Source organism: Homo sapiens, chromosome 6, assembly GCF_000001405.40.
Source record: "Homo sapiens chromosome 6, GRCh38.p14 Primary Assembly".
NCBI lineage: Eukaryota > Metazoa > Chordata > Mammalia > Primates > Hominidae > Homo > Homo sapiens.
In genome coordinates, this window is record NC_000006.12 from 63,407,572 (window position 1) to 63,424,051 (window position 16,480).

At 39.3% G+C, this 16,480-nt stretch overlaps 1 protein-coding gene across 3 annotated transcripts in view, besides 2 other annotated features; it reads right to left on the minus strand.

Annotated features, from left to right (window-relative positions):
* Positions 1–16,480, minus strand: part of LGSN (lengsin, lens protein with glutamine synthetase domain) — a 297,657-nt gene that overhangs the window by 131,621 nt on the left and 149,556 nt on the right. The window lies entirely within an intron of this gene.
* Positions 11,233–11,527: a silencer, noted in NCBI's record as "tiled region #2763; K562 Repressive non-DNase unmatched - State 24:Quies". NCBI's record gives its function as "represses a minimal TATA promoter and a strong SV40 promoter by Sharpr-MPRA in K562 cells {active_cell/tissue: K562}" and the evidence as "EXISTENCE:reporter gene assay evidence [ECO:0000049][PMID:27701403]".
* Positions 12,787–12,836: an enhancer, noted in NCBI's record as "active region_24716". NCBI's record gives its function as "activates an Ori minimal core promoter by ATAC-STARR-seq in GM12878 lymphoblastoid cells {active_cell/tissue: GM12878}" and the evidence as "EXISTENCE:reporter gene assay evidence [ECO:0000049][PMID:35858748]".

Consider the following 16,480-nt stretch of genomic DNA (forward strand, 5'->3'; position numbering starts at 1 on the left):
CATACTGAATGGGCAAAAACTGGAAGCATTCCCTTTGAAAACCGGCACAAGACAGGGATGTCCTCTGTCACCACTCCTATTCAACATAGTGTTGGAAGTTCTGGCCAGGGCAATTAGGCAGGAGAAGCAATAAAGGGTATTCAATTAGGAAAAGAGGAAGTCAAATTGTCCCTGTTTGCAGATGACATGATTGTATATCTAGAAAACCCTATTGTCTCAGCCCAAAATCTCCTTAAGCTGATAAGCAACTTCAGCAAAGTCTCAGGATACAAAATCAATGTACAAAAATCACAAGCATTCTTATACACCAATAACAGACTAACAGGGAGCCAAATCATGAGTGAACTCCCATTCACAACTGCTTCAAAGAGAATAAAATACCTAGGAATCCAACTTACAAGGGATGTGAAGGACCTCTTCAAGGAGAACTACAAACCACTGCTCAAGGAAATAAAAGAGGATACAAGGAAATGGAAGAACATTCCATGCTCATGGGTAGGAAGAATCAATATCATGAAAATGGCCATACTGCACAAGGTAATTTATAGATTCAATGCCATCCTCATCAAGCTACCCATGACTTTCTTTGCAGAATTGGAAAAAACTACTTTAAAGTTCATATGGAACCAAAAAAGAGCCCACATCGCCAAGTCAATCCTAAGCCAAAAGAACAAAGCTGGAGGCATAACACTACCTGACTTCAAACTATACTACAAGGCTACAGTAACCAAAACAGCATGGTACTGGTACCAAAACAGAGATATAGATCAATGGAACAGAACAGAGCCCTCAGAAATAACGCCACATATCTACAACTATCTGATCTTTGACAAACCTGAGAAAAACAAGCAATGGGGAAAGGATTCCCTATTTAATAAATGGTGCTGGGAAAACTGGCTAGCCATATGTAGAAAGCTGAAACTGGATCCCTTCCTTACACCTTATACAAAAATTAATTCAAGATGGATTAAAGACTTAAACGTTAGACCTAAAACCATAAAAACCCTAGAAGAAAACCTAGGCATTACCAATCAGGACATAGGCATGGGCAAGGACTTCATGTCTAAAACACCAAAAGCAATGGCAACAAAAGCCAAAAGTGACAAATGGGATCTAATTAAACTAAAGAGCTTCTGCACAGCAAAAGAAACTACCATCAGAGTGAACAGGCAACCTACAAAATGGGAGAAAATTTTCGCAACCTACTTATCTGACAAAGGGCTAATATCCAGAATCTACAATGAACTCCAACAAATTTACAAGAAAAAAACAAACAACCCCATCAAAAAAAAGTATTTCTATATACTAGCAGTAAATAATCAGGATTAAGTATTTTTAAATATCTTTGTTTTTCTTTGAGATGGAGTCTTACTCTATTGCCCAGGCTGGAGTGCAGTAGTGCAATTATAGCTCATTGCAGCCTCGAACTTCTGGGCTCAAGTGATCCTCCTGCCTCAGCCTCCCAAGTAACTAGGACTGTAGGTGCACACCATCACGCCCAGCTACTTTTTAAAATATTTTGTAGAGACAGGATCATGCTGTGTTAACCATGCTCATCTCAGATTTCTGCCCTCAAGTGATATTCCTGCCTTAGTCTCCCAAAGCACTGAGATTATAGGTGTGAGCCACCACACCCAGCCAAAAATATTTTTTGTAATGTCATAAATACATGAAACACTTAGGGATATATCTCAACAAAGATGTTAAGTGTTTCTTTAGATTAATGTAATCTTTCTTTAGATATATTAATAACCACAAAATGTAATCTAGTCAGTCTATTCAGGCTTTTTAAGATAGTTTTACATATATCTAAACTTCTTGATCAAGTATTTTAAGAAATTTTTACATATATCTAAACTTCTTGATCAAGTATTCACTTTACACAATTGTTACAAACAACCAATTTATATTTTGCTAAGTTTTAACTATTTCTAACCATTATGGTAGTCCTTAAATACCAGATTTGGGGTCAGATGACCTTATTTTAAATTTCAGCTCTGACAGTTAATAGCTGTATAATTTAAGACAAAAATTCTGATATTTCAGATCTCAGTTTCTGCATTTATAAAATTGGGATAATAATACTTAATAGCTCAGATGGCCTTGTGTTTTTATACAAACAGACTTTTTTGCTACATGATTTGGGTCATGTTAAATATTTCTAGTCTTTAGTTATTACCTCAGCCGGGTGTGGCAGCTCACACCTGTAATCCCAGCACTTTGGAAGGCCGAGATGGGCAGATCACTTGAGGTCAGGAGTTCAAGACCAGCCTGGCCAACATGGCGAAACCTCATCTCTACTAAAAATAGAAAAATTAGCCGGGCATGGTGGTGGGTGCCTGTAATCCCAGCTATTCGGGAGGCTGAGGCAGGAAGAACTGCTTGAACACAGGAGGCGGAGGTTGCAGTGAGCCAAGATAGTGCTACTGCACTTCAGCCTGGGCAAAAGAGCAAGACTCCATCTCAAAAAAATTAAAATAAAATAAAATAATAAGGTATTACCTCATCTATAAAATAGTACCTGTCTCTTAATATGGCTATGAAGATATGACATAAAATATTTAAAATGATTTAGAATAGTACCTGGCACTCAATACATGTTATCCTTTATAATGTTCACAAAAACGGGTACAGGTTTGACACATACAAAGTTTCATAATGTTTGTGGCTATAAGTCTTGTTTCCTATTATCTATAATTGGTCCATTCTAAACTCAGTAAAGTGTACATATTAGTCAAAATGTTTTGACTTTTTGTAGACATTCATTTAATCAAAAGTGGGACTCTATAATATTATAAAATTGAGTAAAGTCTTTATGGAATGTTTATATTAATTTTTAGTACGACTCTGAAATGAGATACCTGAGATCATTAGTTTTTTAAACTTTATTTAGCAGCAGAAACTTTTTTCAAATAAAATCTTATTCAGATCAATATATAAATATATATCAATGGTATAAAGCCAATAAAAGTTTTTCAGTTGAACTATAAACCCACAAGGCTAACACAATTTGGGCATTTATTATGTGCTAGGTGCAATTCTAAAATTACACTAAAGCCAGTATTGGCTCTGGGGCTTCTTTCTTGGAACCATAAAGTGCAATGAACGCAGTTTAAAACCTGCTCCTTGGAAATTGTTAAGCTATTCAAGGACAAGAACCTATGACATGTGTTTTAACCAAGTATTTAGTATGGTATTGGGCACTTAATAGGTGTTGAAACAATTTTGGTGGACTTGAGTAGCACAGAAAAAGCTCATGAAATCTTAATGACCCCACATGCTGGTAAATGGTTGCTGCCTCATGCTCCAAACATACCACTTCCTCAGGTCAAAACCAGTTTTTTTCCAATTCCTAAGCAACGAGGTTTGGCATAAAGCTAGGCCAGAAATGTCAGTACAGGCTATTTCTTGGGGATATTTAGAGACACCTACTGAGTTAGTAGGAAATGTAAATTGTGCCTAAATTTATCAGGATTATTTCTCAGACACACAACTACAGTTCATCTCATCTCCAAAGTAGCCTCAGGACTCCAGAAATACTCCAAGGGCCTCTTCCTAAAATTGACTAGAAATTTTGCCAGCTCTCTAAAGAATAATATTGACTGTCCCAAAGATCTCTTGGTCAAAGTCTATATTCGTGATTTGGAATTTTCCCAAGCACCAGGAATTACGCTGTGAGCTAACATTTACGCAGACATTCTCCCAGTTACTTTCAGTTTTCGGTTTTGTTAGTTATCAAGTAAAGGGGATAGCAGGTAAGGAGAAAGTAGGCAAGGGCATCAGAGATAAGTTACACTAGGACATAGCCTTGGCTTGTGTGTCATCTTCTTTCTACATGCCATATCTCCTCCATTACTGAATTTTAAGATCTGTCCTTGAAGACAGAGACTTGATCTATAGTTCTATTGCGCTGCTCACACTATTAATGGTAATAATAATAAAATTAATTTTTATTGAGGCCTTATGAAGTGCTTAATATTGTGCTAAGGCCAGGCATGGTGGCTACACCTGTAATCCGAGTACTTTGGGAGGCCGAGAAGGGAGGATCCTTTGAGCCCAGGAGTTTGAGCTAACCAAGACAACATGGTCAGACTCTGAGTCTACAAAAAATAAAAAATATTAGCTGGATGTGGTGGTGTGCACCTGTAGTCCCAGCTACTCAGGATGTTGAAGCACAAGAATCCCTTGGGCCCAGGCTGAGGTTGGTTGGGGCTGCACTGAGTCATGATGGTCCCCCTGCACTCCAGCCTGGGTGACAGAGTGAGACCCTGTCTCAAAAAAGAAAAAAAATTGTGCTAAAATACTTAAGCACTATCAAATGTGCAAGTATTCAATGAACATTTCGCAATTAAAAACTCTAAAATAAAATATCTTATGTAGAAATATTTCTGGGTAAGCAAACAAAACAAGTAGAAATAAAATGAGTTTTTATTTCTTCTTATACTAAAGGTAAAGAGAAAAACTTAAAATAGTGAATTTTCAGGATTGTTTTTAGAGACTTGAAATGAGGGCAGGTCGGGCAAAGTGGCTTACGCCTGTAATCCCAGCACTTTGGGAAGCTGAGGTGGGCAGATCACTTGAGGTCAGGAGTTCGAGACCAGCCTGGCCAACACGGCAAAACCCTGTGTCTTCTAAAAATACAAAAATGAGCCGGACATGGTGGCAGAAGCCTGTAATCCCAGCTACTCAGGCAGCTGAGGCAGGAGAATCACTTGAACCCAGGAGGCGGAGGTTGCAGTGAACTGAGATCGCCCCACTGCACTCTGGCCTGGGCAACAGAGCAAGACTCCATCAAGAAAGGAAAGAAAGAAAGAGAGATGAAAGAAGGAAAGAAAGAAAGAAAGAAGAAAGAAAGAAAGAAAGAAAGAAAGCAAGAAAGAAAGAAAGAAAGAAAAAGAGAGAGAAGAAAGAGAAGAAAGAAAGAAAGAAAGAAAGAAAGAAAGAAAGAAAGAAAGAAGGAAAGAAAGAAAGAAAGAAAGAAAGAAAGAAAGAAAGAAAGGAAGGAAGGAAAGAAAGAGGCAAAGAAAGAGGGAAAGAAAGGGAAAGGGAAAGAAGGGAAAGAAAGGGAAGGAAGGGAAGGAAGGGAAGGAAAGGAAGGAAAGGAAGAAAGAAAGAAAGAGAAAGAAAGAAAGAAAGAGGGAAGGAAGGAAAGAAAGAAAGAAAGAAAGAAAGAAAGAAAGAAAGAAAGAAAGAAAGAAAGGAAGGAAGGGAAGGAAGGAAAGAAAGGAAAGAAGGAAGGAAGGAAAGGAAGGAAAGGAAAGGAAGGAAGAAAGGAAGGAAGGGAGAGAGAGAGTAAGAGAAAGAGAAAGAAAGAGGGAGAGAAAGAGAGAGAGAGAAAGGAAGGAAGAAAGGAAGGAAGGAAGAAAGGAAGAGAGAAGGAAAGAAAGAGAAAAGAAAAGAAATGAGGGCAAGTTAGAAAGAAGAAATTGATCATAAAATCATGTGCTAAAATAAGTCAATAAGGTGAGAACAATACATGGGGTATCATAATCCCTATAAACCATTATACAAATCCTGAAAAAGTAAAAACAGTTTCTGAATTAAACTACCAGTGTTGAACACTCATATTAATAAAATGTAAAGCAACACCATACATTACAGAGGTTATGGATTATCATGGAGATCTGTATAATTAATAATAATCTATTATTATTTGACATGTAATTTTAGAGACACCATTGAAGCTTTACAAAATGAACTCTAAATGCAATTTCATTTCAACCAAGGAAACTGATAATCAAGAATAGTTATATTCTTTTCCTAAATTTATAAAACTTTTCTTCTAAGAAATGGATACACAATATTATGAAATTAATTTAAAAAGAAAGATTGGCTGACATTTATTACATAAATGGTTGTTTCTCCTAATATCTAATTTTTACTCCTCTCTTACTTAACAGATTTGTGACTGATGACATTGCTTTATGAATAGCATAAGCCCTGTTTTAACTAAGTGGATCATTGGGCTAGAAATAGAGATTCCTGTGCTGTATTTCTAGCTCTGAGTAGTTCTGTGACCTTAGGCAAACTTCTCAGCAGGAATCTCAAATTATCCTAATTAAAACTAAAATGTCATTTTCCACCCACTATATGTATTGCACAAAGGTTGTGACATGATTATCCCTCTTTTTACAAATAATTGAGTTACTTCATATAAAGGTAAAATGCCATAAAATTATTTCTACATTAATGTCATATTTAATAATCTGAAATGATTTTGCCTTAATAGGATAAGATAGTAAGTGCAAACAGAATAGAGTTCCGATTATCCTTTAAAGTTAGTAATTATTGTTAGAATATATACTAGCTTTCATGTGTATATATATAATTCATTTATATTCAACTAAATCACCATGGCTATCTTGAATATTAGAGGCAAGAGGATTCATTATTATATTCACCAATATATTCAGTATTGGTGGCTGTTATTAAAGGCTTGTAATTAATAGGGGGCCAGTCGAGAAGAGTGGCCACTGGAATCACAAACACTGTACTTCCTCTCCCATGTTCTGCTTCATAACTATGATCAAGTCACAACATCTTAGCCTCAAGACATGAAGATAATAATACTGTCTTAATTTTGTTTTGTTTTGTTTTGTTTCAGGAGAGCTAAATGGGCTGCTGGGTATAAACTATGTGGCACAGGGCCTGATGCACCTGAGGTGCCAAAAAAAAAATATTAGTCTTTATTCTTTCAAGAAATCCTATGAGATCCTTGATATTTTTGTTGTCACATACATCTGTAAAATATCCCCCCATTTCCTTGAGAACCTGTCGTTCAATAAGTATAAAGTTTCAGTTTTGTTAGATGAAAAAGTGCTATACATCATAATGTATATAATATTGTAGTCTTCAAAATTCTTAAGAGAGTAGATATGTATTCTTTAGAAAAAAACCCAAAGGGACACAATGAAACTTTAGGAGGTGTTGATTATGTCTATTACCTTGATTATGGTAATGCTATTACCAGTGTTTGCATATGCACAAACTAATAAAATTGTACATATTAAATATGTGCAGCTTTTTATATATCAATTATACCTTAATAAAGCTTTAAAAAAATAGAAAATGTGCTGGGCGCGATGGCGCGTGCCTGTAATCCCAACACTTTCAGAGGCAGTTCACTTGAGCTCAGGAATTCAAGACCAGCCTGGGCAACATGGCCAAATCCCATTTCTACAAAATATACAAAAATTAGCCTTGTGTGGTGGTGTGGGCCTGTAGTCCCAGCTACTCAGGAGGCTGAGGTGGAAGGATTGCTTGAGCCTGGGAGGCAGAGGTTGCAGTGAGCCAAGGTTATGCCACTACACTCCAGCTTGGGCAACAGAGCCAGACGCCCTTTAAAAAAAATTAAATTAAAAATGAAAACTTTAAAAATTTAAAAATGGAGACTTTTTAAAATAAAGAATAAAATAAAATATCCCCCTCAATTAGTTCATTTTCATACTGCTATAAAGAACTGCCCACAGGGCACAGTGGGACGCGCCTGTAATTCCAACACTTTGGGAGGCTGAGGCAGGTGGATCACCTAGGAGGTCAGGAGTTCGAGATCAGCCTGAGCAACATGGAGAAACCCTGAAACCCTGTCTGTAATAAAAATACAACCAGGCATGCTAGTATGCACCTGTAATCCCAGCTACTCAGGAGGCTGAGGTAGGAGAATCTCTTGAACCCTTGAGGCGGAGTTTGCGGTGAGCTGAGATTGAGACACTGTACTTCAGCCTGGGAAACAGAGGGAGACTCCATTTCAAAAAATAAAAAATAAAAATAACTGCCCAAGACTGGGTAATTTATAAAGGAAAAAAGTTTAATTGACTCACAGTTCAGCATGGCTGGAGAGGCCTTAGGAAACTTACAATTATAGTGGAAGGCAAAGGGGAAGCAAGGCACCTTCTTCACAAGGCAGCAGAAAGGAGAAGTGCCGAGGGAAGGGGAAAGAGCCCCTGACAAAACCATCAAATCTTATAAGAACTCACTATCATGAGAATGGCATGGGCGAAAGCGCCCTCATGATCCAATTATTTCTACCTGGTCTCTCCCTTGACTCGTGGGAATTATGGGGATTATGAGGACTATAATTCAAGGTGAGGTTTGAGTGGGGACAGAAAGCCTAACCATATCAACCCTCATTTCTTGAGATAGCTAGAGCGACTTCCACTGCCTAAAAGTCAAAAGAGCTTCTCCAATCATTATGCTTTGCTACTTCATGAAGTTCTAAATTGTTGATGCATTTTACTTTGCACATTTTCATTCGGTACTCCCATAGATGTTGAGTAGGTAGCGTTATGTGAACTCTCTTTAGATTCACCCGGGCATTTATTATTCTTACATCTAATACCATCAAATACATGGAGAATGCATGCATTGGGAGGAGGCCATTCATTGATCTAATAGATTAAATAAAATAAAACATCCAAAATGAAGCAAAAGGTCCTTATTCCCTGTTTTCCTGACCATTGAGAAGAGAAGACAGCTCATAAACCTAGATTATTTCATCTTTATCTCAGATTTCATCTTTCCCTTCCATTTCCAAGGGAGATGCTTTTTTTTTTGCTTTTTTTTTTTCAGAATATTCAGCTAATGGTTGGCTCCATGGCTCATCTCTGAAAAAAAAATTACTTAGAGGCAGCACGATTCATTGCTACTGTCTCAAATGCTCCTAAGACAAAGAATCTTCTGCCAACACGGGCATACATGTTTGAATTAAGCATTCCCTATAGAAGTGAGCAGTTAATGGTCCAAGGAAACATCAGATGGCATTGAGGGCCAAACTGAGAAATAATGAATATATAGATATATCTTTGATATCCTGTATCACATCCTCCCTCAAGTAACTCAGTCTTTCTTTGCACTCCTTACTCCCTACAGGCTGCCACTAATAAATGAAATTTAAAATTCTTAGAGTAGCTGAATATGGGTTAAAATAAACTGAATCTGCTCATAAATAGAGTGGTTTATGTATTTTGTACACACAATTTATAAAATACATAGTTTTTTTGTTGTTGTTGTTTTTGTTTTTTTTGAGACGGAGTTTCATTCCTGTTGCCCTGGCTGGAGTGCAATGACGCAGTCTTGGCTCACTGCAACCTCCACCTCAGCAATTCTCCTACCCCAGCCTCCCAAACAGCTGGGATTACAGGCATCCACCACCACGCCCGGCTAATTTTTGTATTTTTAGTAGAGACGGGGTTTCACCATGTTGGCCAAGCTGGTCTTGAATTCCTGACCTCAAGTGATCTGCCCACCTCGGCCTCCCAAAGTGCTGGGATTGCAGGCATGAGCCACCGCACCTGGCCTAAGTAGATATTTAAAAGAAATATATATATACACTTTAAAAGTGTATGTACATACATATGTATGTACACACACACACACACACACACACACATTTAACGAAAGTCGAACTTACAGAAAAGAAATAAAATACACAGTCCTTATCAAAAACAGATGTGAAACAACATGGAAATCCCTCTTCTTTAACCTGTTTTGTGATGCTGCACCTGGCACCCTACAAACCACAGTTCTGCTTTGCCACCTGACCCTTGAAGGCACTGAAGAGAGACTACAGGCTGGAGGAAGAAAAGACATACTTCTTCTTGTCTGTTTCCCATTCCTATGAGAATCATCCTATTAATACTTCTTCCCCCCAGCTGCAGCAATTCCTTTCCATGGCTGCAGCTGAATCTTGTGTGCAATTTTTCTAACATTCACAAAACCAGGCTCATCACACCCATACCCCCACCCCACAACACACCAGCACCAGTGCCCTCAACTCTGAAGTTTGAGTTTCAGCTTTTCAGGGCCCTTCCTCTAAGTTTCTAAGTTTTACTAACTCTCCTATCTTCTCTTTATTCTCTCAGTCCTAAGGGTGATAGCTGCTTCCTATAGTTGCTATCTCCTTGATGACTAGAATTCACTTTTTACCCTTTCAGTTACCTGATTAATAACTTTACATTTTGTTATTAATTCTTCTGCTTCTGTCTGTTTAAATAGCAGATGTAATTTCTGTCTCCTATCTGGACCCTAACTATACTATGGCTTAACACATATAAACTGGTATCATATAAACCGAGTACACCAAGATTGCTTTAAAATAAAACTATGTAAAAGTGTGGCAGGGAAAAGAGTAAAGTAAATGTGTAGCTGTTAGAGGTTGTCAGATGGAGGGAGGAGGAAAATGCTGGAAGAAAGGAAAGGAGGACTCATAGTACTTAGTGTAAAGACCCATCCATGTATAGATACAGTGACAGTGTGACTATAACTTGATGCTACACAGGTAAACCATAGAACTGAAGATTAATGATATATGCCAATAAGATTGAGAGAAGAATAAAGAGGACAATGCAACCAAATTAAATTATTTTGTAACACAGCAGAATAATGTTTAGAGGTTATAAATTTTAAAATAATGAATAAGTACATTACCATATTTAACTATATGGAGATAAACCCCCAAACAACTGGAAACACATGATTACAGTGTTCTTCTTTAAGAAATAATACTGGAGGTATGCAGAAGTGAGATAAGGCTAATTGCCTTTCCCATAAATGTTTCCATTTAATTTTTAGTATTTTATTAATTTGATTGTTTAAATTTTAAAAATGCAAAGAAAAAGATGTTGACTTCTGGAATTATGTAGTAGACACTTTTTCACATTCCTCACAGTAATGTCAACTAAAAACCCTGAATATTATATATAAAACAAACAGGCCAGGTGCGGTGGCTCACACCTGTAATCCCAGCACTTTGGGAGGCCGAGGTGGGTGGATCGCAAGGTCAAGAGATCGAGACCATCCTGGCCAACATGGTGAAACCCCGTCTCTACTAAAAATACAAAAATTAGCTGAGCGTGTTGGTGCGCTCCTGTAGTCCCAGCTACTTGGGAGGCTGAGGCAGAAGAATCTCTTGAACCCAGGAGGCGGAGGTTGCAGTGAGCCGAGATTCCGCCACTGCACTCCAGCCTGGCGACAGAGCGAGACTCCGTCTCAAATAAAAAATAAAAATAAAAAGCAAATGAAACAAACATAAAACTCTGGGAGGTAGAAAGAAGGCGGACTGGCTAGGAACCTCAGGACTCAAGGGGAAATACAGTGATGACATCCCTGGATTTTCTTTTTGTCTCATGTATTCCAGATTTAGAGCTGAAGAAGTCAGTAACTGGGAAACACCAAAGTGTATAGACTAAAAAGCCCCCACAAAAGCCAGCTACTTCTAGCCAAAAAACCAGGAAAGGGGCAGCCTAGCAGGGCAGAAACCTTATAGACAATAGCTACTCTAAACAAACCCACAGAAAAAGCTGTGCCCCACCCCCACCGTGCCAGCAAAGAAAACTAGACTTCCCTCTTCACAGCATGAGGGGAACTTTGACTCCCAGCCTAGCAGTAATGAAGCAACCTTCCTTTCCCCACTGGGGTGGTGCCAGAGGATGCCCAGCAGAGTGTCAGGGCTTTCACTATCACCCATAGGTAATGAGGCCACCCTTGCCATGGTGTCAGTAGAAGTGAGGAGCACTGACTTCTTCAGCAATAAATCTGGGATACATGAGACAAAAAGAAAATCCAGGGATCTTATCACTGTATTTTCCTTGAGTCCTGAGGTTCCTAGCCAGTCAACCTTCTTATTTCTACCTTCCAGAGTTTTATGTTTGTTTTATATATAATGGTCAGGGTTTTTAGTTGTCATTAGTGTGAGGAATATGAAAAAGTGTCTACTATCATAAAGCACTAATAAGGCGTCTGGTTGCAGCCAAAATCCAATGTGTTGATTTTTTTAGGCACAACCATAAACGATTACGAAGGCTTTACCTAGCAGGCCTCAAGGAGGAAAGATGGTCTCCCCACACCAGATTTGGTGCACAACCAATACACTGCAAACTCTGAAGGGAATTAGAGCCAAGGGTTCAATCCTCCCTGACCAGCCATGCTTTTATGTATATCTGCATTCTTAGCTGGGGCTCCTCCATTTTGAGGCCTCCTTACCAGGGAAGCTTGAAGACACTTTGCTGCACTCTGCCTTAAGTACTTGATACTTTTTCGGCCTGGCAGGGTGGCTCACGCCTGTAATCCTAGCACTTTGGGAGGCCAAAGCGGGCGGATTGCCTGAGCCCAGGAGTTCGAGACCAGCCTGGTCAACATGGTGAAACCCGTCTCTACTAAAAATACAAAAATTAGCCGGCCGTGTTGGTGGACGCCTATAATCCCAGCTACTCGGGAGGCTGAGGCAGGGGAACTACTTGAAACAGGGGGGCAGAGGTTGCAGTGATGATACCACCTCACTCTAGCCTGGGCGTAAGAGCGAAACTCCCTCCCAAAAAAAAAAAAAAAAAAAAAAAAAAAAAAAAAAAAAAAAAAAAGCCTGGTATGGTGGCTCACACCTGTAATCCCAGCACTTTGGGAGGCTGAGGCAGGCGGATAATGAGGTCAGAAGATTGAGACCATGGCTAACACGGTGAAACCCCGTCTCTACTAAAAATACAAAAAAATTAGCTGGGCATGATGGCAGGCTCCTGTAGTCCCAGCTACTCTGGAGGCTGAGGCAGGAGAATGGCGTGAACTCGGGAGGCGGAGCTTGCAGTGAGCCGAGATCGCACCACTGCACTCCAGCGGAGGCGACAGACCGAGACTGCGTCTCAAAAAAAAAAAAAAAAGTACTTTGTACTTTTTCACTCCTAGACTTTTCCCTTCTGCATCCCCCCGGCCCCCTGGGCCCATAAAACTACAGTAGCCTTTTGTTTGGCAGTGAGACAACACCATCTCTGTGCTGATCCAGCTGGCCCTCAACTGATATGCCATTCCATGGGGCAAAACAGCCAGAGGAGTCAGCACTTTCTCCTTAACCTCTTGCATATACCAACACAGAAAGTGATTAAAGGCTTGACTGTTACTTTCATTTTGGCTCCTGGCTTTAACTGGCTACTCTAACACCTGTAAGTTCAGCACTCTCCAGCTCAGCTGGGCCTCTGATAGGTACTAATACTCCTTCCAGTTTGGGAGGTATCATTAGAGGCCTAGTTAGGAGCCAGAATTCACAGACTACCTGGCAGTAAAAAGGTGGTAGCGCCTTCCTTTGCTGCAGGGTTATCAGCAAAAGCCAATTAAAACATAAGTTTAAATAAAATCCAGAGTCTCAAAACACAATATTCAACATGTCCAGGTTTCCATTGAAAATCATTCATCATACCAAGAACCAGGAAGATCTCAAAAGGAATGTAAAAAAAAGATGTCATACATAATGTAACTACCTAACACAGATTGTAAAGCAGTTGTCATAAAAATGTTTCAATGAGCAATTGTGAACATGCTTGAAAAAAATTTTTTTAATCTCAGCAAAGAAATCAAAAGTCTTGGTAAAGAAATAGAAGATAAAGAAAATGAAGAAAAATCAAATTAAAATTTTAGAATTAAAAAATACAGTATTTGAAACAAAAAGCTCAGTGGATGAACTCAACAGCAGAATGTGGCTTGGTGAGTCAGGTAAAAAAAATGATTAAAAAGAAAACAACAGAATAAAGGGAACAAAGGAAAGAATAAGTAAACTGGAAGATAAAACAATAGAAATTATTCAGTCTGGCCAGGCACAGTGGCTCGTGCCTGTAATCCCAGCATTTTGGGAGGCTGAAGTGGGTGGATCACTTGAAGTCAGGAGTTCAAGACCAGCCTGGCCAACATGGCAAAAACCCACCTCTACTAAGAATACAAAAATTAGCCAGGCGTGATGGCACACACCTGTAATCCCAGCTACTCGGGAGGCTGAGGCACAAGAATCACTTGAACCTGGGAGATAGAGGTTTCAGTGAGCCAAGATCATCATGCCACTGCACTCCAGCCTGGGCGACAAAGCAAGATTCTGTCTGAAAAAAAAAAATTATTCAGTCGGGGCCAGGCACAGTGGCTCATGCCTGTAATCCCAGCACTTTGGGAGGCCGAGGCAGGCAGATCACCAGGTCAAGAAATCGAGGCCATCCTGACCAACATGGTGAAACCTCGTCTCTACTAAAAATACAAAAATTAGCTGGGTGTGGTGGCACGTGCCTGTAGTCCCAGCTATTCAGGAGGCTGAGGCAAGAGAATCGCTTAAACCCGGGAGGCGGAGGTTGCAATGAGCCAAGATTGAGCCACTGCACCCCAGCCTGGCGACAGAGTGAGACTCCGTCTCAAAAAAAGAAAGAAAAAAAAAGAAAGAAATTATTCAATATGAACAATAGAGAGAAAATAGGGAAGAAAATGAACAAGTCCTTAGGGAACTGTGAGACTATAAAAAAAGTTCTAACATTCTTGTCCTCACAGTTCTGGAGGGAAAGAAAAAAGAGGGCATGAATGAAAAAGTAGTTGAAGAAATAAATATAGCTGAAAACTTCCCAACTTTGACAAAAAAGATATGAACATACAAATTCAAGAAGCTGAGTGAAACCCAAATGGTACAAACCCAAAGAAACCCACAGGAAGATACATATAATAGTCAAATTTCTGCAAATGAAAGACCAAAAAAATTTTTTGTTGTTTTGTTGAGACAGGGTCTTGCTCTGTCTGTCGCCCAGGCTGGAGTTCAGTGGCGTGATCTCAGCTCACTGCAACCTCTACCTCCCGGGTTCAAGCGATCCTCCCACCTCAACCTCCCTAGAAGTTGGGACTATAGGCATGTGCCACCACACATGGCTAATTTTTGTATTTTTAGTAGAGACAGGGTTTCACCATGTTGGCCAGGCTGGTCTCAAACTCCTGACCTCAGGTTACCTGCCCACCTCGACCTCCCAAATTGCTGGGATTACAGATGTAAGCCACTGTGCCTGGTCCCCCAAAAAAATCTTAAAACAGTAAGAGATGTAACAAAATATACCATTCTAATGTCCAGTGTTGATAGTGGGTAGGCTGTATATATGCAGTATATATGAGAATGGGTTATATGAAAACTCTGTGCTTTCTGCTCAATTTTGCTATGAACCTATAAATTATCTAAAAAATAAATTCTGTTAAAAAAAGAGATACCCATTTACCTATAGGAGTAAACAATTTGCATGATGACATTAGTAGACTGAGATAAGTTATGTATATATAACATATTACCTTTCCCTCAAATGTCTATACAAAGAGATACACACGAAAATACTATATATACAGAAAAGTAAAACTTAGAAATAAAAATAAGAAATAAATACTATAGATAATCAAAATACAATTCTAAAAATTGTTCAAGTAACCCCCAGGAAGACAGGGAAAAGAAAAATAGAGACACAAAAAACAGAAAGTACAAACAGAAAATCAAAAAACAAAATGGCAGACTTCACTCCTAATGTATCAATAGTTCTATTAAATGTAATTGGTTTAAATACCCCAATTAAAAGACAGAGATTGGCATAGTGGATTAAGAAAACATAAGCCAACTATATCCTATTTATAAGAATAAATAGTTTGAAAGTAAAATGATAGAAAAAATAGCATGCTAGCATTAATCAAAAGAAGAGTGGCTAAACTAATATCACTTAAAGTAGGCTTCAATCAGGTACAGTGGCTCACTTCTGTAATCCCAACACTTTGGGAGGTCAAGATGGGAGGATTACTTGATTTTAGGAGTTGAAGACCAGCTTGAGCAACACAATGAGATCCTGTCTCTACAAAAAATAAAAAATGAGCCAGGAGCAGTGGTGCCAATCCGTAGACCCAGCTACTCAGTAGGCTGAGGTGAGGGGATTGCTCCAGCCAGGAGGCCGAACAGCAGTGACCTGCGATTGTGTCACTGCACTCCAGCCTGGGTGACAGAGTGAGACCATGTCTCAAAAAAATAATAATAATCTGGGCAAAGTGGCTCATGCCTGTAAACTCCCAGCACTGCAGGAGGCAGGCAGATTTCATGAGTCCAGGAGTTCAAGATGTGCCTATGCACATGGCAAAACTCTGTCTCTACCAAAAAAAAAAAAAAAATAGCTAAGCATGTAGTCCTAGCTACACAGGAGGCTGAGGTGGGAGGATCACCTGAACCCCAGAGGCAGAGGTTGCAGTCAACCAAGATTGCACCACTGTACTCCATTCTGGGTGACAAAGCGAGACCCTGTATAAAGAGTAAAAAATAAAATAAAAATAAATTATGTAATAATAAAAAAGTAATCCACCAAGAAGAAATAATCCCAAATGTGCATATATCAAACAACAAAGTGGCAAAATACTTGAAGAAAAAAACTGATAGAACTGACCAGGCATGATGGCTCACGCCTATAATCCCAACACTTTGGGGGGCCGAGTCAGGCAGATCATTTGATGTTAGGAGTTCGAGACCATCCTGGCCAACGTGGTGAAACCCCATCTCTACTAAAAATACAAAAAAATTAGCCGGGCATGGTGGCGCATGCCTGTAATCCCAGCTACTTAGGAAGCCGAGGCAGGAGAATCACTTGAACCTGGGAGGCGGAGGTTGCAGTGAGCCAAGATCATGCCACTACACTGCAGCCTGGGCAACAGAGCAAAACTCTGTCTCAAAAGCAAAACG